At 38.1% G+C, this 20,363-nt stretch overlaps 1 annotated feature.

Moving 5' to 3' along the window:
* Positions 17,559-18,131: an enhancer, noted in NCBI's record as "H3K27ac-H3K4me1 hESC enhancer chr7:15980075-15980647 (GRCh37/hg19 assembly coordinates)". NCBI's record gives its function as "activates a minimal SCP1, AML or CMV promoter by ChIP-STARR-seq in primed H9 embryonic stem cells {active_cell/tissue: H9 hESC(primed)}" and the evidence as "EXISTENCE:reporter gene assay evidence [ECO:0000049][PMID:30033119]".

The raw sequence follows: 20,363 nt of genomic DNA, 5'->3' as shown, positions 1-20,363 counted from the left end.
TTTATCTTGACACTTCGTTGATATTTCGGCTGCAGTAAAATTCTGCTCGGTTGATCATTATTTCTTTTCAGAATTTTGAAGGCATGACTTCATAGCTTGGTTCTTTGTGTTGCTATTTAGAAGGAAGACATTCTTATTTTTGATTTTATATGAGCCTTCCTGTACTCCCCTTTCTGTAAGTCTATAGAATTTCTTTTCTCTATTATTTGGAAATGTCATAGTGATGTACCTTAGAGTACAACTTTTTTAACTCCATTGTCTTGGGCACTAGATAGAAACCTAAGTCCTTTAATTCTGGAAAACGTTCTTAAATTACATCATTCATTATTTATTATTTTCTCAATTCTTTCTTTCTTTATTTTATTTTATTTTGAGACAGAGTCTGGCTCTATCGCCCAGGCTGGAGTGCACTGGTGCGATCTCGGCTTACTGCAAGTTCTGCCTCCTGGGTTCACGCCATTCTCCTGCCTCAGCCTCCCGAGTAGCTGGGACTACAGATGCCCACCACCATGCCTGGCTAATTTTTTGTAGTTTTAGTAGAGACGGGGTTTCACTGTGTTAGCCAGGCTGGTCTCGATCTCCTGACCCCGTGATCCACCCGCCTCGGCCTCCCAAAGTGCTGGGATTATAAGCGTGAGCAACCGTGCCCGGCCTCTTTTCTTAAATCCATTTACTCAGACATTAAATCTCTTGCATAGATTTCTAATTTTCTTACTCTTACCAGTTGTTTTTCGTCTTTGTATTAACTTTTTTTGTAATCAAAGCTTATATCATTTTTTCTTAGCTTTCATGGCATTATTAATTCCAAGGCTTAAAAAAATTCTCTAAATAGTTATTTCTTTTTAAAAAGATTCTGTATATACTTTAATCACAGATTCAGTATCTCTCTTAGGTTATTAATGATATGGTTTTTTCCCTTCTTTTAAAATTATTTTCTCTTCCTCCAGATTGTCTTCTTTTTCTGTTTGTTTTGGCCTGTTAGCTTTTATATGAGACACTTTCCTAAAACACCTGGTAACTTTGGGTCCTTTAGTGTGTTTAGGAGTGAAAGATCTGAGGTGTAAGGAACGGATCCAGTTCAGCTTTCTACATATGGCTATCCAGTTTTCCCAGCACCATTTATTAAATAGGGAATCCTTTCCTCATTTCTTGTTTTTTGTCAGGTTTGTCAAAGATCAGATGGTTGTAGATGTGTGGTATTATTTCTGAGGGCTCTGTTCTGTTCCATTGGTCTATATCTCTGTTTTGGTACCAGTACCATGCTGTTTTTGTTATTGTAGCCTTGTAGTATAGTTTGAAGTCAGGTAGCGTGATGCCTCCAGCTTTGTTCTTTTGTCTTAGGATTGTCTTGGCAATGCAGGCTCTTTTTTGGTTCCATATTTACTTTAAAGTAGTTTTTTCTATTTCTATGAAGAAAGTCATTTGTAGCTTGATGGGGATGGCATTGAATCTATAAATGACCTTGGGCAGTATAGCCATTTTCATGATATTGATTCTTCCTATCCATGAGCATGGAAAGTTCTTCCATTTGTTTGTGTCCTCTTTTATTTCATTGAGCAGTGGTTTGTAGTTCTCCTTGAAGAGGTCCTTCACATCCCTTGTAAGTTGTATTCCTAGGTATTTTATTCTCTTTGAAGCAATTGTGAATGGGAGTTCACTCATGATTTGGCTCTCTGTTTGTCTGTTATTGGTGTATAAGAATGCTTGTGATTTTTGCACATTGATTTGTATCCTGAGACTTGGCTAAAGTTGTTTATCAGCTGAAGGAGATTTGGGGCTGAGACTATGGGGTTTTCTAAATATACAATCATGTCATCTGCAAACAGGGACAATTTGACTTTCTCTTTTCCTAACTGAATATCCTTTATTTCTTTCATTTGCCTGATTGCCCTGGCCAGAACTTCCAACACTGTTGAATAGGAGTGGTGAGAGAGGGCATCCCTGTCTTGTGCCAGTTTTCAAAGGGAATGCTTCCAGTTTTTGCCCATTCAGTATGATATTGGCTGTGGGTTTGTCATAGATAGCTCTTATTATTTTGAGATACATCCCATCAATACCTAATTTATTGAGAGTTTTTAGCATGAAGGGCTGTTGAATTTTGTCAAAGGCCTTTTCTGCATCTATTGAGATAATCATGTGGTTTTTGTCTTTTCTGTTTATATTCTGGATTACATTTGTTGATTTGTGTATGTTGAACCAGCCTTGCATCCCAGGGATGAAGCCCACTTGATCATGGTGGATAAGTTTTTTGATGTGCTGCTGGATTCAGTTTGCCAGTATTTTATTGTGGCACTATTCACAATAGCAAAGATTTGGAACCAACCCAATTGTCCGTCAATGACAGACTGGATTAAGAAAATGTGGCACATATACACCATGGAATACTATGCAGCCATAAAAAAGGATGAGTTCATGTCCTTTGTAGGGACATGGATGAAGCTGGAAACCATCATTCTCAGCAAACTATTGCAAGGACAAAAAACCAAACACTGCATGTTCTCAGTCATAGGTGGGAACTGAACAATGAGAACACCTGGACACAGGAAGGGGAACATCACACACCGGGGCCTGTCATGGGGTTGGGGGGAAAGGGGAGGGATAGCATTAGGAGATATAGCTAATGTAAAGGATGAGTTAATGGGTGCAGCACACCAACATGGCACATGTATGCATATGTAACAAACCTGCGCATTGTGCACATGTACCGTAGAACTTAAAGTATTAAAAAAAAAAAAAGAATTACATAGGGAATATGAGTTCATCCAATATGGAGACGTGTTTCAAATCATTAAATCTGGCACTCTTAAATTATTTGCTGAATATATCCTCAGTAATTCAACTTTTGAGATTCTGTTAATATTAATATCCATCTCTAGACTTCCTTAAATAAAGGACTAAGTGAAGAAAAAAAAGAGTGAAAGGTCTGAAAATCTAATTTTAAACTCTGTGCATGAGAATGGGACCCACTGATCTTGGGATTCACAGTAAGGCACAGTAAGATTATCTGAGACATTTGTTGGGGCTTCCTCGGTGTGAGTCTCTTAAGTCCTCTCCTTCTTGGGCTGGTAGTATTTCCTAGGAAAAATCCCTCTAGCCTCTTGTCTAGAAGTTAAGTCCTGGCTGCAGCATTCTGGTAAAAGGCAGGGATAATTAAGTAGAAAGTCTCATCACTCAGTTTGCAGATGTTCTCTTAATATTCCTTTCATTTTTGTTTGTTTATTTTGTTACAGCACATGTGCTTTCAACTTTTCCTGGTGTCCCTCTGTCCAGAGACCCTCTCTTTCAAGTTTCCAGAGAATAAAATTTTAGACATCTATTATGCTAGGTCAGGGAGGGGCAGCCACTAAGGGCACAGAGTGGGAGAGAGCTAGGCAAATAACACTCCTCAAGCAGCTCTCAACCAACCTCCTTTCTCAACACCAGCCCCACTACAGAGTCTCTGTGGACATCCATTTCTGAGCCTTTGGAAGATTTGGCAGTGCAAATCAGAACAAAGCCACTTATTCACATGCTTTCCAGGCTTCAGGATTCTGTTGGTGTGTCTCTACTTTCATTTTCTTCCATTTTTCAGTTTGTGTCTTTTAAAATAACATCTTTATTGATGTTACAATGGGGTTTCAGGAGAGAGCCTGAATATTGGATGGCTCAGAGCCATGTTCGATTTTAGGCATTACTCTTATTACAGCCTGTGAATGAATTATTTTTTTAAATGCAAATGGAGAGTTTTGTTACTTAAGAGGGAGTTTAACTCATTAATATTATCACATGCAATATGACTAATCCTACTTGAGTAACTGTTTAATGCATTCTGCTATTTGCCTTTTCTTTGTATTTTTTTAGTTTGTCCTTTCATTTTCTTTCATTAAAATATATTTACGATGTTTTACAATGTTTTCTAACTTTTGCAATGATGGGGCTATTTGGTGGTTCTATAGAGTATTTTGGCTCAGTATAGAATTGGAGGCTATCAATTTTCCTCTGAAAAACTTTCATTCTTTCCTTTTTTATGGTATTCAGTTATGGTAGGTATTACTCTTGATTCACAAATTCTGTCGTGTCAGAAAATAAAACTTTATTCTTGGTCATTCCTTTTTAAATTCTGACTCTGAATCTCTAGTGCTTAGGAAAAAGTTAGAAGGTTTAACTTCATTTCTTGAAATATCCATCCTTCTTGGACTAGTGCCGCAGACAAAGAATGGGATGGGGAAATGACAAATGTTGGTTTGCACGGAACTGAAGGATTTTTCCTAGATATGCGTCTCTCAGTGCTAACACCTGGAAAGTCCTGGGCTACCAAGATCATTGGTCACTCAAGATGTAGACCATTGTGATTTGTTCCTGTGATTTGCCTTCATGATGTCCATTGTGGAGCCCTTCTAGGCTCTTCAGGTTCAGTTGCTCCCTGCTGCTTCCCTGACATGCTTGGTCTAGAGGGCTTGTTAATTTTAGTTGTGAACTTGACTGAGTTAAGAGACACCCAGATAGATGAGAAAGCATTATTTCTGGGTGTATCTGTTAGGGTGTTTCTGGAAGAGATTGGCATTTGAATAAGTGAACTTGAATAAGGAAGATCTGCCCTTACCCAGTGTGAGAGGGCAACATCCAATTGACTGAGAGTCCAGATAGAATAAAAAGGCTGAAAAAAGGCAAATTCGCTCTTTCTTCCGAAGGTGGGACATCATTCTCATCATTCTTCTCTTTCCCTTGTATATAAGAACTCTAGGTCTTAGGCCTTTAGACTTCCAGACTTACACCAGTAGTCTCCCCATTTCTCAGGCTTTTAACCTCAGACGGAGAGATATACTTTTGGCTCTCTGTTTCTTAGGCTATCAGACTCAGAGTGATTTGAACAAGCAGCTTCCCTGGTTCTCCAGCTTGCAGATCATGGGACTTCTCAGCCTCTATAATCACACACACACACACACACACACACACACACACACACACACAGAGAGAGAGAGAGAGAGAGAGAGAGAGAGAGAGAGAGAGACAGATCCTATTGATTTTGTTTCTCTGGAGAACCCTGACCAGTGTAGGATGCAAGGATCCCGGGTACTGAGCTGCACAACACAGTCAAGCCATTTTTTTGTCTGCCATCTTGTTAGCTCCCCAGAGGAATGGCTAGAAAATCAGATATAGTTCTCCCTGTCTCTAATCTATACCCTCCTTCTATATGTCCCTGTTTACATACTGCAGGCATATTTTTCTAGTCTGGAGATAATTCTTCTCCCTCTGCATTCAGAAGCTTATGCCCAAGAAACCAAAGAATCTTGGCTTCATCATAAAATCTTCCAGCTTTTCCTAAGATCTTAAAAGACTTGTGGCCAGTTCCGCTTTTTTGTCCTGCCATGTCTTTCTTGAAATGATTGAATATAGAGCTAAATACCTCCTTGAAGGGGAGAGGAGAAAATAAGTTAACATCTCAACATGGCATCCACCACCACAGCTTTGGAGACAAATGGGATCCCTGGCAACATTAATTCTTTACAAGAAGCCTGTTTATTTATCTTCAAATCATTGGTAATTTTGACATCATATGTATAGATATTCATATATATAGATATGTCTATCTGTCGAGAGAGGAATTCATTTGCATGCCTTCCTTTTTTGATATTGACTGTTTTTTGTCCACTTTTTTGACTTGCACTAGTTCCATTACGCCTACCTTAACAGATTTATGGACAGTTAAAAAGTAAATCCAATAATAAATCTAAATTGACTTTTAAAATAGTTAAATAAACTTTGTCAGTTGTGATGTAGCTATATAGTCAGACTCTGTTACTTTTGCTCTCCTGCCTGAAGCCTTCCAAGAGATGAGAAACTAGCTCTCTGCTGAGATACCCATTCTTTTTTTTTTTGGCGGGGGGGGGATACTTCTAATACTTACACTTATCTTTCTTTATGTTGAGCTAATATGTTATTCCTAAGAATTACCATTTAGAAAGTCTGGCTTTCCCTTTTAGTTAATCAAAATGATGCCTCACTAAAGACTATTTCAGGGCTGCCCTTAAGATAGTTGGAGAAAACTCTTCCAATTGCAGTTTTCTCTTATGCAGTCTTTGTATATTCCCTTGTTATTCTTCTGTGGAATGTCTTGGAGTCCCTTTACCCTTCATACAGTTCTACAGGCAGAAGTTCTGGAGGTCTTTTAAAGAATGAGGCTATGACTTTTGCCCAAAGCCTCCAGTATACTTTGACTATCATAGAGCAAGGACATATATATCAGCTCTGCCATTCAGAACATTTACCCACTCATTGATGGAAATCAGATTAGCATTCTTGACAGTCTTGTTGCAATGTTGATATACCAATTTTATATGAATAGGAAAGAAGGACTAGAATACTGACTTTGAATCTTGTGATACATAGGGGTTTATTTTATCACTCCACAGTAAGGGGGTAGATAATGGAATGTTATGGACTGAGGAGTTTCTCCTGGCTTTCTGTCCTTCAACAATGCTACCTATGAATAACCCTACCCTTTCAAGTGCTCCTTTGCAAACAGCATTGACATATGGGATCAACTGTTTGAGTGAGAGAAATAGTGTGGCCGCAGAGGGAGGCAATTAGCCAAAACAAATTGGGGGAGAGATGAGAGACTGTAAGACTGAAAGGCTCTTGTTTGAACTTGGACTTGAATGAGACCTGCCTGGGACAAAACCAGAGCATGAGACAAATAAAGAGAATAAAATATTTGGAAATGTACTCTTGGAATAATAGGAGACTTCGAGGTCTGGCTTTTACCCAGAGCCTGGAATTGGTGGATCTTTGGCCTAAATGAAACATTCAGTCATTATGAACTTCACAAATATGGTAAGTCAAGTTCAAAAGGAGAATTTGACTCATTCTTAAGCTCCTAATTCTCTGAAGACAAGAGTTATACAATTTTCTGACAATGTGATTTTAATACTGGGGTGAGATTTTTTTCAATTTTGAAAACATTCTTAACAATTAAACTGATAGAATCTTTAAACAATTTTTACAGAAAAATGTCCATGTTGGGTCAGAAAATCTAGAATTATATCTCAGCTATGTTACTAGATATGTAATATCTCTCTATCCCAGCTATGTCACTATATATGTAATTTCTCTCTGCTTTAATTTCTTCATATATAAATTGGGATTGTTATATTTATTTCATAGATTTAAAAGCAATATTTCACAGAAAGATCCTTGTAAAATAAAACATACTAAAATGTTAGTGATTGCAATTAATATTTATGACAGTACTCATATTTCTTTAAGAGCCTTTTCTATGTATGAAGTGCATCAACATTGTAAATAAATGTTAGGTTGAGAATCTCCTATAGTGCTCCTTATTCTTGCATCACAGGCTGATAGCCAACCACCAAAATCTTTCTTCCCTTCTTCTACAGCACTAGAATTGTAACTGATACCATTTCCAGACTTCCTTACAGTTAGATGTGGCCAAATATCTCAGTTTATGTGGGCTAAAGTGATGTGTGCTATATATAGGGAAATTTCTTAAGACCAGGCAGTACCTAGATATTTTGATGTTTCCCTATGATTACAGAAAACACACAGGAGGAAATTAGAAATTATCCTAAATTTAAAAAAATCTCAAATTGGCATCCTGTAATGAATACATTGACAACCTACTGGTTGAATGATCAAGGAATTTAACTCTTCAATATTGAAATAATTTTACAGTGATAAAATAATTCCAAAAATAGTACAGAGAGTTCCATCTACCCTTAATCCATCTTACCCTTATGTTTGTATATTATATAACTATAAAACATTTATCAAAAGAAATTACCCTTCATTCAATAGTATTAACCAAAGCACAAGATTTATTCAATTTCCCCAATTCTCCTATTAATGTACTTTTTCTATTCCACATCTAATCTCAAATCCCACATTGCTCTTAATTGTCAAGCCTCTGTGGTCTTCTTCAGTCTGTGACAATCATCAGTCTTGACCTTGACATTTGAAGAGAATGGATCAGAGAACGGGTCAGTGGAAGCATCACATATTTATATATACTTTCAACCTAAGCTTGTCTAATGTTTTTTGATTATTAGATTGAGGTTATGCATTTATGAGATGAATGTCACGGATAATGTGCTTGTCTCCAGGCATCACGTCAGAGTATTGAAGATGATACAATTTGAATGACAGGTTATGTTAACCTTAATCACTTGACTATGGTAGTGTCTGTGAAGAGTTTCCACTCTAAATTTCTATTTTCCTTGTTGTAATCTTCTTGTTGCAAATATCTGGTTTCAGCTTAAACTTTAGCCCATTCATTTTAGCATCTATCTCTGGATCATGCCTGTGGCAATTTTTACTGTGGTATTCTAATTGTGATTTTCCATTGATAAATATATAAAGAAGAACCATCACGCATGCCCCACTGAGTAAGTCCATTTTCATGCTGCCAATAAAGACATACCTGAGACCAGGTAATTTATAAAGAAAAAGAGGTTTAATGGACTCACACTTCCACATAGCTGAGGAGGCCTCACAATTATGGCAGAAGGCGAAAGGCACATCAGACACGGCAGCAGACAAGACAGAATGAGAGCCAAGTGAAAAGGGAAACCTCGTGTAAAACCATCAGATGTTGTGAGACTTACTCACTACCATGAGAACAGTATGGGGGAAACCACCCCCATGATTCATTCCCACTGTGTCTTTCCCACAACACCTGGGATTTATGGGAGTTATAATTCAAGATGAGATTTGGGTGGGGACACAGCCAAACCATATCACCCCATTTATTTATGTTAGTATGAACTGAAATTTTTATTGTTAGGAGTTTATCTCAAATATCAGTTACTTATTTTTTGTTCATGCTATTCCAGCTTTAGCCATTGGGAGACTTTTCAGTTTGGCTCCTGTGATTATTCAGTATTCCTCCATCCTTTGTTTTCTTTATTTATTATTTTACCCCAGTTTCTTATTTTCTGGCATTATGAAGATACTTCAGGCTCACTTTAAACTTTCCTGTCTCAATCCTGGAATCAATCATTTCTCACAGGAGTCCTGGTTCCATTTATTGGAGAGTGGTATTTAGAAACAAATGTGTGGGTTCTAGGTGTGCTATTTTGTTACAGGGGTCTTACTGACTCTGGCCCCATTCAGGGATAAAAGTAGGAAATATATGTAGCATACTAATTCATGCTTACACTCATTTTCATAGCTATTTTTGTATATGTTTACATGTCCATATATATGTGTGTGTGTACACATATACATACTTAAAAATAAGGTAATATTGATGCCATTTACTACAATCCAGCACCATAGGAGCCATTCTAATCTTCCCTCCTCACCTTTTACAACTTCTTTCTCTGGTAGCAGGAAACCTGGCTTTTATTATGTACAATACATTTATTTATTTATTTAATCCTAATATAAAAATGTAATTCTTTTAGGATTCCTGATCCATATCCCTGAAAGAAACAAAGTCACAAACTAGAGCATATTCTTTCACTCAGCAAAATGTATTTAAGATTCATGCATGTTGTCGTTTGAACCATTAGTTTGCTCTGTTTATTGCTAATACTACATTTGAGCTATGTGCCACAGTTTGTTTATATCTTTACTGGTTGAAGGACATCTAGGTTGTTTCTAATTGTTAAGAATTATAAACAAAGCTGATGTAAATACTTGTGAATAGGTTTTTGTGTAAATATAATGTTTCATTTCTTCTGAGTAGATACCTAGGAGTGGACTTCCTGGATTTTATGGGTAGATATAGATTGAACTTTATAAGAAACTGCCAAACTGTTTTCCAGAGCGGCTGCGGCATTTTCTAAAATTCCACCAGCAATGTATGGGGTGCCTCATTGCTCAGCAAGCTAACCATTATTCAGTATTGCTAGTTGTTTGCATTTCAGAATATAGAACCTGAAAGAGACTTTGGCAGCTAGAGCATCTTCTTCATGTAACAGATGTGTCAAGATGCCCAGAAATATAAAGTCATTTGCGTAGGAACATACAACAAGCTAGGGATAATCTGGACTACAAGAAAATATCTCTTGCCTGGCTCTCAGTCTTATGTGATTTTTTTTCCTGCCAATTTTTCATATACCATTTGTTTCCATATTTGGTCTTTACCCGACACAATATAAGCCATTCTTAAGCCTTATCGCTTGGAATGGTAAAATGATATCGATACATCTTTTAGGTCTTTTTAATCTCTGGAGATGATAAAATGTACAGGGAGAGGGGGCAGTATATTAGCCTATTCAGCAGCTGAGATTATAAACAACTTGTATTCATTCATCTGGTAAATATTTATCAAGCATCTAGTCTGTGTCAGACTCTAACCTGGGCACTGAGTTGAGTATAATAATAAAAGTGTTTTCTTGCTGCCAGTGACCTTTACGTTTAATTCATTAAAAAATATATGCTACAAGGGAAATATAGAGGTATGTTTCTTTTCAAGAGTGTATTATTAGCATTTCTCAACACAGCACACACCCATAGCTAGGGTGTGTGTTGGATGACACAGGGCACCTATGATGGTTTCTTTAAGGAGAAAAAGATAATAATCACTTTTGATTTTCACTTTCTGGGTGAACAGATGCAAATATTTTCAGCAAATTGTTGAGATATTTCCTGTGGTAAAGCAGTTCTTGGAGACTTGGAAGAGTTATTTGCTTACATCAGTTTTTAGGAGTAATTCATAGAAGAACAATTCAATTGCAAAACCTAATATCGTTCCTCAAGCTACACCCTCTCTTCTTGTAGAAAAACACTGCCCAGGCTTCCTATTAAATACAAATCTTTTCCTAAAAGAAGGTGAGTGGCATCGAGTTTGAAACAATGGAGTGCCATCTGGAATGACAATTTATAGAAGCTACAAAAAGCTAGCTACAAAAAAAATGAGCATTATCCTTAAGGAATGATAATACATGCTAAAGATGTACAGTATTGAATTAGATTTCAATCTCATGAAACTTATAATCTTATTGAAAAACATAGGTTTTGAATCAAAACTCAAGGTAAAACGGAAATACACAGATAAATATTCTCCAAAGTGTGTGTGTGTGAATACACACATATACATATGTGTACATATTACACATATATTTATGTAATGTATGTATGTTTTTTAAATGTTTTAAAATCTTTAAACATGATTCCATATTCTATATAGATGACATGAGAAATCAGAAATAAGAGAGAAAAATAATTTCAAACACTGTAAAATAATTCAATATTAATTTTGAGAAAATTACCAACTGCTAACTTTTTAAATTATTAATAAAATGTAGTTTCCAACTTGGTGAAAATATTTCCTCGTTACTTTTGTAAGTTTTCATGAATTGCATTTATAAGATTTGCTTTAAGATTATATTTTAAAGCATAAAGATATTTTAAAATTGCACATGTAAAATAGACTGGAGAAATATTAGATTAAAAAGATAGAGGACTTGATAATTCTCATATACACCACTAACAACTGTGTGTTCATGTACGTTCAAAGACATCAGTCATTACTATTTTTTTAATCCAAATCTATTTTAGGCAAAACCATTATTTTTATATACATTTAAATTCTGATAGTTATCTTTTGTGTTTTACTATAATATGCATGACTATTGTATGCCATCTTGATCTCTGACCATCATCAGGGTTTAGAAATATGCTGTTCTAGTGGCAATATATTGAATCTCATAGCACACCTTCTCATGACAAGAAACTATGATCCCTATTCTATGTAATGAGTGAGAGGGTTTTATATTTGGAAGTCTCAGGAAATAGAACTAGCAGGGGACATTTGGGTCATAGTTTGAAGGACCATAATATAAAAAATAAGATAGATGAGTAGAGGTGTGAGTTAAAAAAAAAAAAAAAAACCATAGAAATAGGAGTCATTTTAATGGTATGCAGTTTAGAAGGAACTTCACGTATATATTCTCACATGGTCACTTTTTGATCTCTATGGAAACATCAACTAAAATCATTTAGTAAAAAGCTGATGATTTTAGGCAAAAATGAGGGTATGCTGTGACTGAGATTTCAAGAAAACAATTGTTTCTGAGAAATGTACACGTGTCTTCCTATTATGTTCTGGATGAAGCCATTCAAAACATGTTAATTAATAATGTAACTTTTTCTTTCTCTTTCTCTCTCTCCGCCCCTCCCCACCACCCTCTTCTCTCTTTCTTTCTTTCCTTCTTTCACGGAGTTTTGCTATTGCTGCCCAGGCTGGAATGCAGTGGTGCGATCTTGGCTGTCTGCAACCTCCGCGCCTCCCGGGTTCAAGCGTTTCTCCTGCCTCAGCCTCTTGAGTAGCTGGGATTACAGGCGCATGCCACCACATCCAGCTAATTTTTTTTATTTATTATTTTTTTTAATTAAACTTTAAGTTTTAGGGTACATGTGCGCATTGTGCAGGTTAGTTACATATGTATACATGTGCCATGCTGGTGCACTGCACCCACTAACTCGTCATCTAGCATTAGGTATATCTCCCAATGCTATCCCTCCCCCCTCCCCCCACCCCACAACAGTCCCCAGAGTGTGATATTCCCCTTCCTGTGTCCGTGTGATCTCATTGTTCAATTCCCACCTATGAGTGAGAATATGCGGTGTTTGGTTTTTTGTTCTTGCGATAGTTTACTGAGAATGATGTTTTCCAATTTCATCCATGTCCCTACAAAGGACATGAACTCATCATTTTTTATGGCTGCATAGTATTCCATGGTGTATATGTGCCACATTTTCTTAATCCACTCTATCATTGTTGGACATTTGGGTTGGTTCCAAGTCTTTGCTATTGTGAATAATGCCGCAATAAACATACGTGTGCATGTGTCTTTATAGCAGCATGATTTATAGTCCTTTGGGTATATATCCAGTAATGGGATGGCTGGGTCAAATGGTATTTCCAGTTCTATATCCCTGAGGAATCGCCACACTGACTTCCACCATGGTTGAACTAGTTTACAGTCCCACCAACAGTGTAAAAGTGTTCCTATTTCTCCACATCCTCTCCAGCACCTGTTGTTTCCTGACTTTTTAATGATTGCCATTCTAACTGGTGTGAGATGGTATCTCATTGTGGTTTTGATTTGCATCTCTCTGATGGCCAGTGATGATGAGCATTTTTTCATGTGTGTTTTGGCTGCATAAATGTCTTCTTTAGAGAAGTGTCTGTTCATGTCCTTCGCCCACTTTTTGATGGGGTTGTTTGTTTTTTTCTTGTAAATTTGTTTGAGTTCATTGTAGATTCTGGATATTAGCCCTTTGTCAGATAAGTAGGTTGCAAAAATTTTCTCCCATTTTGTAGGTTGCCTCTTCACTCTGATGGTAGTTTCTTTTGCTGTGCAGAAGCTCTTTAGTTTAATTAGATCCCATTTGTCAATTTTGTCTTTTGTTGCCATTGCTTTTGGTGTTTTAGACATGAAGTCCTTGCCCATGTCTATGTCCTGAATGGTAATGCCTAGGTTTTCTTCTAGGGTTTTTATGGTTTTAGGTCTAACGTTTAAGTCTTTAATCCATCTTGAATTGATTTTTGTATAAGGTGTAAGGAAGGGATCCAGTTTCAGCTTTCTACATATGGCTAGCCAGTTTTCCCAGCACCATTTATTAAATAGGGAATCCTTTCCCCATTGCTTGTTTTTCTCAGGTTTGTCAAAGATCAGATAGTTGTAGATATGTGGCGTTATTTCTGAGGGCTCTGTTCTGTTCCATTGATCTATATCTCTGTTTTGGTACCAGTACCGTGCTGTTTTGGTTACTGTAGACTTGTAGTATAGTTTGAAGTCAGGTAGTGTGATGCCTCCAGCTTTGTTCTTTTGGCTTAGGATTGACTTGGCGATGAGGGCTCTTTTTTGGTTCCATATGAACTTTAAAGTAGTTTTTTCCAATTCTGTGAAGAAAGGCATTGGTAGCTTGATGGGGATGGCATTGAATCTGTAAATTACCTTGGGCAGTATGGCCATTTTCACAATATTGATTCTTCCTACCCATGAGCATGGAATGTTCTTCCATTTGTTTGTATCCTCTTTTATTTCCTTGAGCAGTGGTTTGTAGTTCTCCTTGAAGAGGTCCTTCACATCCCGTGTAAGTTGGATTCCTAGGTATTTTATTCTCTTTGAAGCAATTGTGAATGGGAGTTCACTCATGATTTGGCTCTCTGTTTGTCTGTTGTTGGTGTATAAGAATGCTTGTGATTTTTGTACATTGATTTTGTATCCTGAGACTTTGCTGAAGTTGCTTATCAGCTTAAGGAGATTTTGGGCTGAGACAATGGGGTTTTCTAAATATACAATCATGTCATCTGCAAACAGGGACAATTTGACTTCCTCTTTTCCTAATTGAATACCCTTTATTTCCTTCTCCTGCCTAATTGCCCTGGCCAGAACTTCCAACACTATGTTGAATAGGAGTGGTGAGAGAGGGCATCCCTGTCTTGTGCCAGTTTTCAAAGGGAATGCTTCCAGTTTTTGCCCATTCAGTATGATATTGGCTGCGGGTTTGTCATAGATAGCTCTTATTATTTTGAAATACGTCCCATCAATACCTAATTTATTGAGAGTTTTTAGCATGAAGGGTTGTTGAATTTTGTCAAAGGCTTTTTCTGCATCTATTGAGATAATCATGTGGTTTTTGTCTTTGGCTCTGTTTATATGCTGGTTTACATTTATTGATTAGCGTATATTGAACCAGCCTTGCATCCCAGGGATGAAGCCCACTTGATCATGGTGGACAAGCTTTTTGATGTGCTGCTGGATTCATTTTGCCAGTATTTTATTGAGGATTTTTGCATCAATGTTCATCAAGGATATTGGTCTAAAATTCTGTTTTTTTGTTGTGTCTCTGCCTGGCTTTGGTATCAGAATGATGCTGGCCTCATAAAATGAGTTAGGGAGGATTCCCTCTTTTTCTATTGATTGGAATAGTTTCAGAAGGAATGGTACCAGTTCCTCCTTGTACCTCTGGTAGAATTCAGCTGTGAATCCATCTGGTCCTGGACTCTTTTTGGTTGGTAAGCTATTGATTATTGCCACAATTTCAGCTCCTGTTATTGGTCTATTCAGAGATTCAACTTCTTCCTGGTTTTAGTCTTGGGAGAGTGTATGTGTCGAGGAATTTATCCATTTCTTCTAGATTTTCTAGTTTATTTGCGTAGAGGTGTTTGTAGTATTCTCTGATAGTTTGTATTTCTGTGGGATGGGTGGTGATATCCCCTTTATCATTTTTTATTGCGTCTGTTAGAGTCTTCTCTCTTTTTTTCTTTATTAGTCTTGCTAGTGGTCTATCAATTTTGTTGATCCTTTCAAAAAACCAGCTCCTGGATTCATTAATTTTTTGAAGGGTTTTTTTGTGTCTCTATTTCCTTCAGTTCTGCTCTGATTTTAGTTATTTCTTGCCTTCTGCTAGCTTTTGAATGTGTTTGCTCTTGCTTTTCTAGTTCTTTTAATTGTGATGTTAGGGTGTCAATTTTGGATCTTTCCTGCTTTCTCTTGTGGGCATTTAGTGCTATAAATTTCCCTCTACACACTGCTTTGAATGCATCCCAGAGATTCTGGTATGTTGTGTCTTTGTTCTCGTTGATTTCAAAGAACATCTTTATTTCTGCCTTCATTTCGTTATGTACCCAGTAGTCATTCAGGAGCAGGTTGTTCAGTTTCCATATAGTTGAGCAGTTTTGAGTGAGATTCTTAATCCTGAGTTCTAGTTTGATTGCACTGTGGTCTGAGAGATAGTTTGTTATAATTTCTGTTCTTTTACATTTGCTGAGGAGAGCTTTACTTCCAACTATGTGGTCAATTTTGGAATAGGTGTGGTGCGGTGCTGAAAAAAATGTATACTCTGTTGATTTGGGGTGGAGAGTTCTGTAGATGTCTATTAGGTCCGCTTGGTGCAGAGCTGAGTTCAATTCCTAGGTATCCTTGTTTACTTTCTGTCTCATTGATCTGTCTAATGTTGACAGTGGGGTGTTAAAGTCTCCCATTATTAATGTGTGGGAGTCTAAGTCTCTTTGTAGGTCACTCAGGACTTGCTTTATGAATCTGGGTGCTCCTGTATTGGGTGCATATATATTTGGGATAGTTAGCTCTTCTTGTTGAATTGATCCCTTTACCATTATGTAATGGCCTTCTTTGTCTCTTTTGATCTTTGTTGGTTTAAAGTCTGTTTTATCAGAGACTAGGATTGCAACCCCTGCCTTTTTTTGTTTTCCATTTGCTTGGTAGATCTTCCTCCATCCTTTTATTTTGAGCCCATGTGTGTCTCTGCACGTGAGATGGGTTTCCTGAATACAGCACACTGATGGGTCTTGACTCTTTATCCAATTTGCCAGTCTGTGTCTTTTAATTGGAGCATTTAGTCCATTTACATTTAAAGTTAATATTGTTATGTGTGAATTTGATCCTGTCATGATGATATTAGCTGGTGATTTTGCTCGTTAGTTGATGCAGTTTCTTCCTAGTCTTGATGGTCTTTACTTTTTGGCATGATTTTGCAGAGGCTGGTACCAGTTGTTCCTTTCCATGTTTAGCGCTTCCTTCAGGAGCTCTTGTAGGGCAGGCCTGGTGGTGACAAAATCTCTCAGCATTTGCTTGTTCGTAAAGTATTTTATTTCTCCTTCGCTTATGAAGCTTAGTTTGGCTGGATATGAAATTCTGGGTTGAAAATTCTTGTCTTTAAGAATGTTGAATATTGGCCCCCACTCTCTTCTGGCTTGTAGGGTTTCTGCCGAGAGATCCGCTGTTAGTCTGATGGGCTTCCCTTTGAGGGTAACCCGACCTTTCTCTCTGGCTGCCCTTAACATTTTTTCCTTCATTTCAACTTTGGTGAATCTCACAATTATGTGTCTTGGAGTTGCTCTTCTCGAGGAGTATCTTTGTGGCGTTCTCTGTATTTCCTGAATCTGAACGTTGGCCTGCCTTGCTAGATTGGGGAAATTCTCCTGGATAATATCCTGCAGAGTGTTTTCCAACTTGGTTCCATTCTCCCCATCACTTTCAGGCACACCAATCAGACGTAGATTTGGTCTTTTCACATAGTCCCATATTTCTTGGAGGCTTTGCTCATTTCTTTTTATTCTTTTTTCTCTCAACTTCCCTTCTCGCTTCATTTCATTCATTTCATCTTCCATTGCTGATACCCTTTCTTCCAGTTGATCGCATTGGCTCCTGAGGCTTCTGCATTCTTCATGTAGTTCTCAAGCCTTGGTTTTCAGCTCCATCAGCTCCTTTAAGCACTTCTCTGTATTGGTTATTCTAGTTATACATTCTTCTAAATTTTTTTCAAAGTTTTCAACTTCTTTGCCTTTGGTTTGAATGTCCTCCCATAGCTCAGAGTAATTTGATCGTCTGAAGCCTTCTTCTCTCAGCTCGTCAAAGTCATTCTCCATCCAGCTTTGTTCCGTTGCTGGTGAGGAACTGCGTTCCTTTGGAAGAGGAGAGGCGCTCTGCGTTTTAGAGTTTCCAGTTTTTCTGTTCTGTCTTTTCCCCATCTTTGTGGTTTTATCTACTTTTGGTGTTTGATGATGGTGATGTACAGATGGGTTTTTGGTGTGGATGTCCTTTCTGTTTGTTAGTTTTCCTTCTAACAGACAGGACCCTCAGCTGCAGGTCTGTTGGAATACCCTGCCGTGTGAGGTGTCAGTGTGCCCCTGCTGGGAGGTGCCTCCCAGTTAGGCTGCTCGGGGGTCAGGGGTCAGGGACCCACTTGAGGAGGCAGTCTGCCCCTTCTCAGATCTCCAGCTGCGTGCTGGGAGAACCACTGCTCTCTTCAAAGCTGTCAGACAGGGACATTTAAGTCTGCAGAGGTTACTGCTGTCTTTTTGTTTGTCTGTGCCCTGCCCCCAGAGGTGGAGCCTACAGAGGCAGGCAGGCCTCCTTGAGCTGTGGTGGGCTCCACCCAGTTCGAGCTTCCAGGCTGCTCTGTTTACCTAATCAAGCCTGGGCAATGGTGGGCGCCCCTCCCCCAGCCTGGCTGCCGCCTTGCAGTTTGATCTCAGACTGCTGTGCTAGCAATCAGCGAGACTCCGTGGGCGTAGGACCCTCCAAGACAGGTGCAGGATATAATCTCGTGGTGCGCCGTTTTTTAAGCCCCTCGGAAAAGCGCAGTATTCGGGTGGGAGTGACCCGATTTTCCAGGTGCCATCCGTCACCCCTTTCTTTGACTCAGAAAGGGAACTCCCTGACCCTTGCGCTTCCCAAGTGAGGCAATGCCTCGCCCTGCTTCGGCTCGCGCATGGTGCGTGCACCCACTGACCTGCGCCCACTATCTGGCACTCCCTAGTGAGATGAACCCGGTACCTCAGATGGAAATGCAGAAATCACGGTCTTCTGCGTCGCTCACGTTGGGAGCTGTAGACCGGAGCTCTTTCTATTCGGCCATCTTGGCTCCTCCCCCAATTTTTTTATTTTTAATAGAGATGGGGTTTCACCATGTTGGCCAGGATGGTGTTGATCTCTTGACCTCATTATCTGCCCACCTCAGCCTCCCAAAGTGCTGGAACTACAGGCTTGAGCCACCGCGCCCAGCCTAATGTGCATTTTTTAAAAACACTTTTGTCTTTCTTGCCTTTCTCTCTCTGTGTGTGTGTGTGTGTGTGTGTGTGTGTGTGTGTATAGGATTCACGAATATTTCTTTAAGAAGGCTAATATACTGTTGAGTTCTATAGGCTACATGCATTTTTGTACACAACCATATAAAACTTGTCATTTAGACATTCTTTTATGGACCTTGTAGATGTCAATTTCTGAATGCTTGGCATTTTCCAAAAGCATTTCCTGTTGTACCTGCTATATGGTCACTTTGTTGGATGGCTGAGAGGATATACTTTTTGTTACTAAAAAGGACTAAATACTGTCATTGAAAAATATGAAAAGGTTTCCCTTGTCCAAAAAATTATTATCTATTGTAATACTTAAATGATTTGTTCTCATTGGTAAGCCATATTTTTGTGTTTAAATTTTAATTGGTTAGCAGAACAGAGATTAATGTTCACATTCAATTAATACTACATATTTTATCTCATGATTATTAATAATGTGACTAGATGTATGAAATAGAGTATATTTGTGCATTTTTATAAATTTACAAATGTATAAATTTTACTTTTAATAGTGACTAAAGAAGAATCAAGGTAATATGTATTATGTTGTTCACATTTCCATGCTTTACTGACTATAGGAAACAAAATTCTAGATTTTTGATGCCTGACCCTGGATATGTCCATGCATGGGAACATCAATTGCTAGGGAAACTAATACAGAAAAAATATCTGTAATTTAAGTAAATTAGGATAATCTTGAAGAAGATGCAGGTTACATACTTTTACCCTAACACATTGATTTTTTTAAGCTAAAGCTTTCCTTTGTCAAGTGTGACTCTGTGGAACAAGCACTAAGTCACCTTGATTCACCTTATATATTTGATGCTTTTAGAGGTAAAAGGAGGCCTACTCTCTCTTTATCCCTTTTGCCTCAATTTATTACTGTTTGCTCTGCTCTGTCAGAAACTTTTGCAGCTGCAAATCTTATCGTGACATCTTTGACATTTTTTTTTCAACACCATGAAAGCTCTAAAATGAAGCTATCAGATGCCAGAATCAAGCTCTGGCATGAGACTGGCAAGAATTAGAACCTGGAAATTAGACCTGCTGGTGGGACCTGCTGCTTTGGGCCAGGTCCCATTTTGGTGACAAGGGATACAATGATGAACATGGCTCTTTGGCTTTGAGGATTTTTCACACTTGGGGACAAGATAAAAAAATTCATCTTCCACATTACTTCAATAATCTTTAAAATTAATGATTTTCTCCATTTTTTAACATGGCAAATATAACGGCTTATGTTACAAAGCATCGCACTGCTATGAGAATAAACAGGTTTATAAATATTTCCATTCCACTAGTTATTAGTTGTAATTCCAAAGGGATGGTTTTTAATCATAGGAGTCCAGAATAGATTTATGACTGGATATGCTGGAAGCCAGCAATAAAAGATACCAAACCAGTAGCAAGTACTAGAACTAGACTCCAGTCACTGCAGAAATGTAGCTAAAGCAAACAAGACTAAACATTCTGGGAGGAACTGAGGTATTACATCAGTTATTGAGAGAAGTACTCAGGCATGGCAGAATAAACTATGAACCCACCTACTAAAACTGATAATACAGCTCAAGGACTTGGTCTTAAACCTGATACTGAATCTCTGAATTTAGAACTACAATTTATGGTCAGAAAGGGCCTCATGGACCCAGTGATTTGAAAATGAGTCATGGCTTAGAACTCCCCTTAACTAAGGGCAAGACTGATTGAGGACCTCAGGGGACACTTGAGACCCTTAGATGAGACAATATGCACCCAGCTTATAGTCTGGCACTTGGGCAAAATAAATACTTACCTCCTTCCTAAATGC

This window comes from Homo sapiens, chromosome 7 (genome assembly GCF_000001405.40).
Source record: "Homo sapiens chromosome 7, GRCh38.p14 Primary Assembly".
NCBI classification, from domain to species: Eukaryota; Metazoa; Chordata; class Mammalia; order Primates; family Hominidae; genus Homo; species Homo sapiens.
This window is presented reverse-complemented; position numbering and strand designations above follow the sequence as displayed.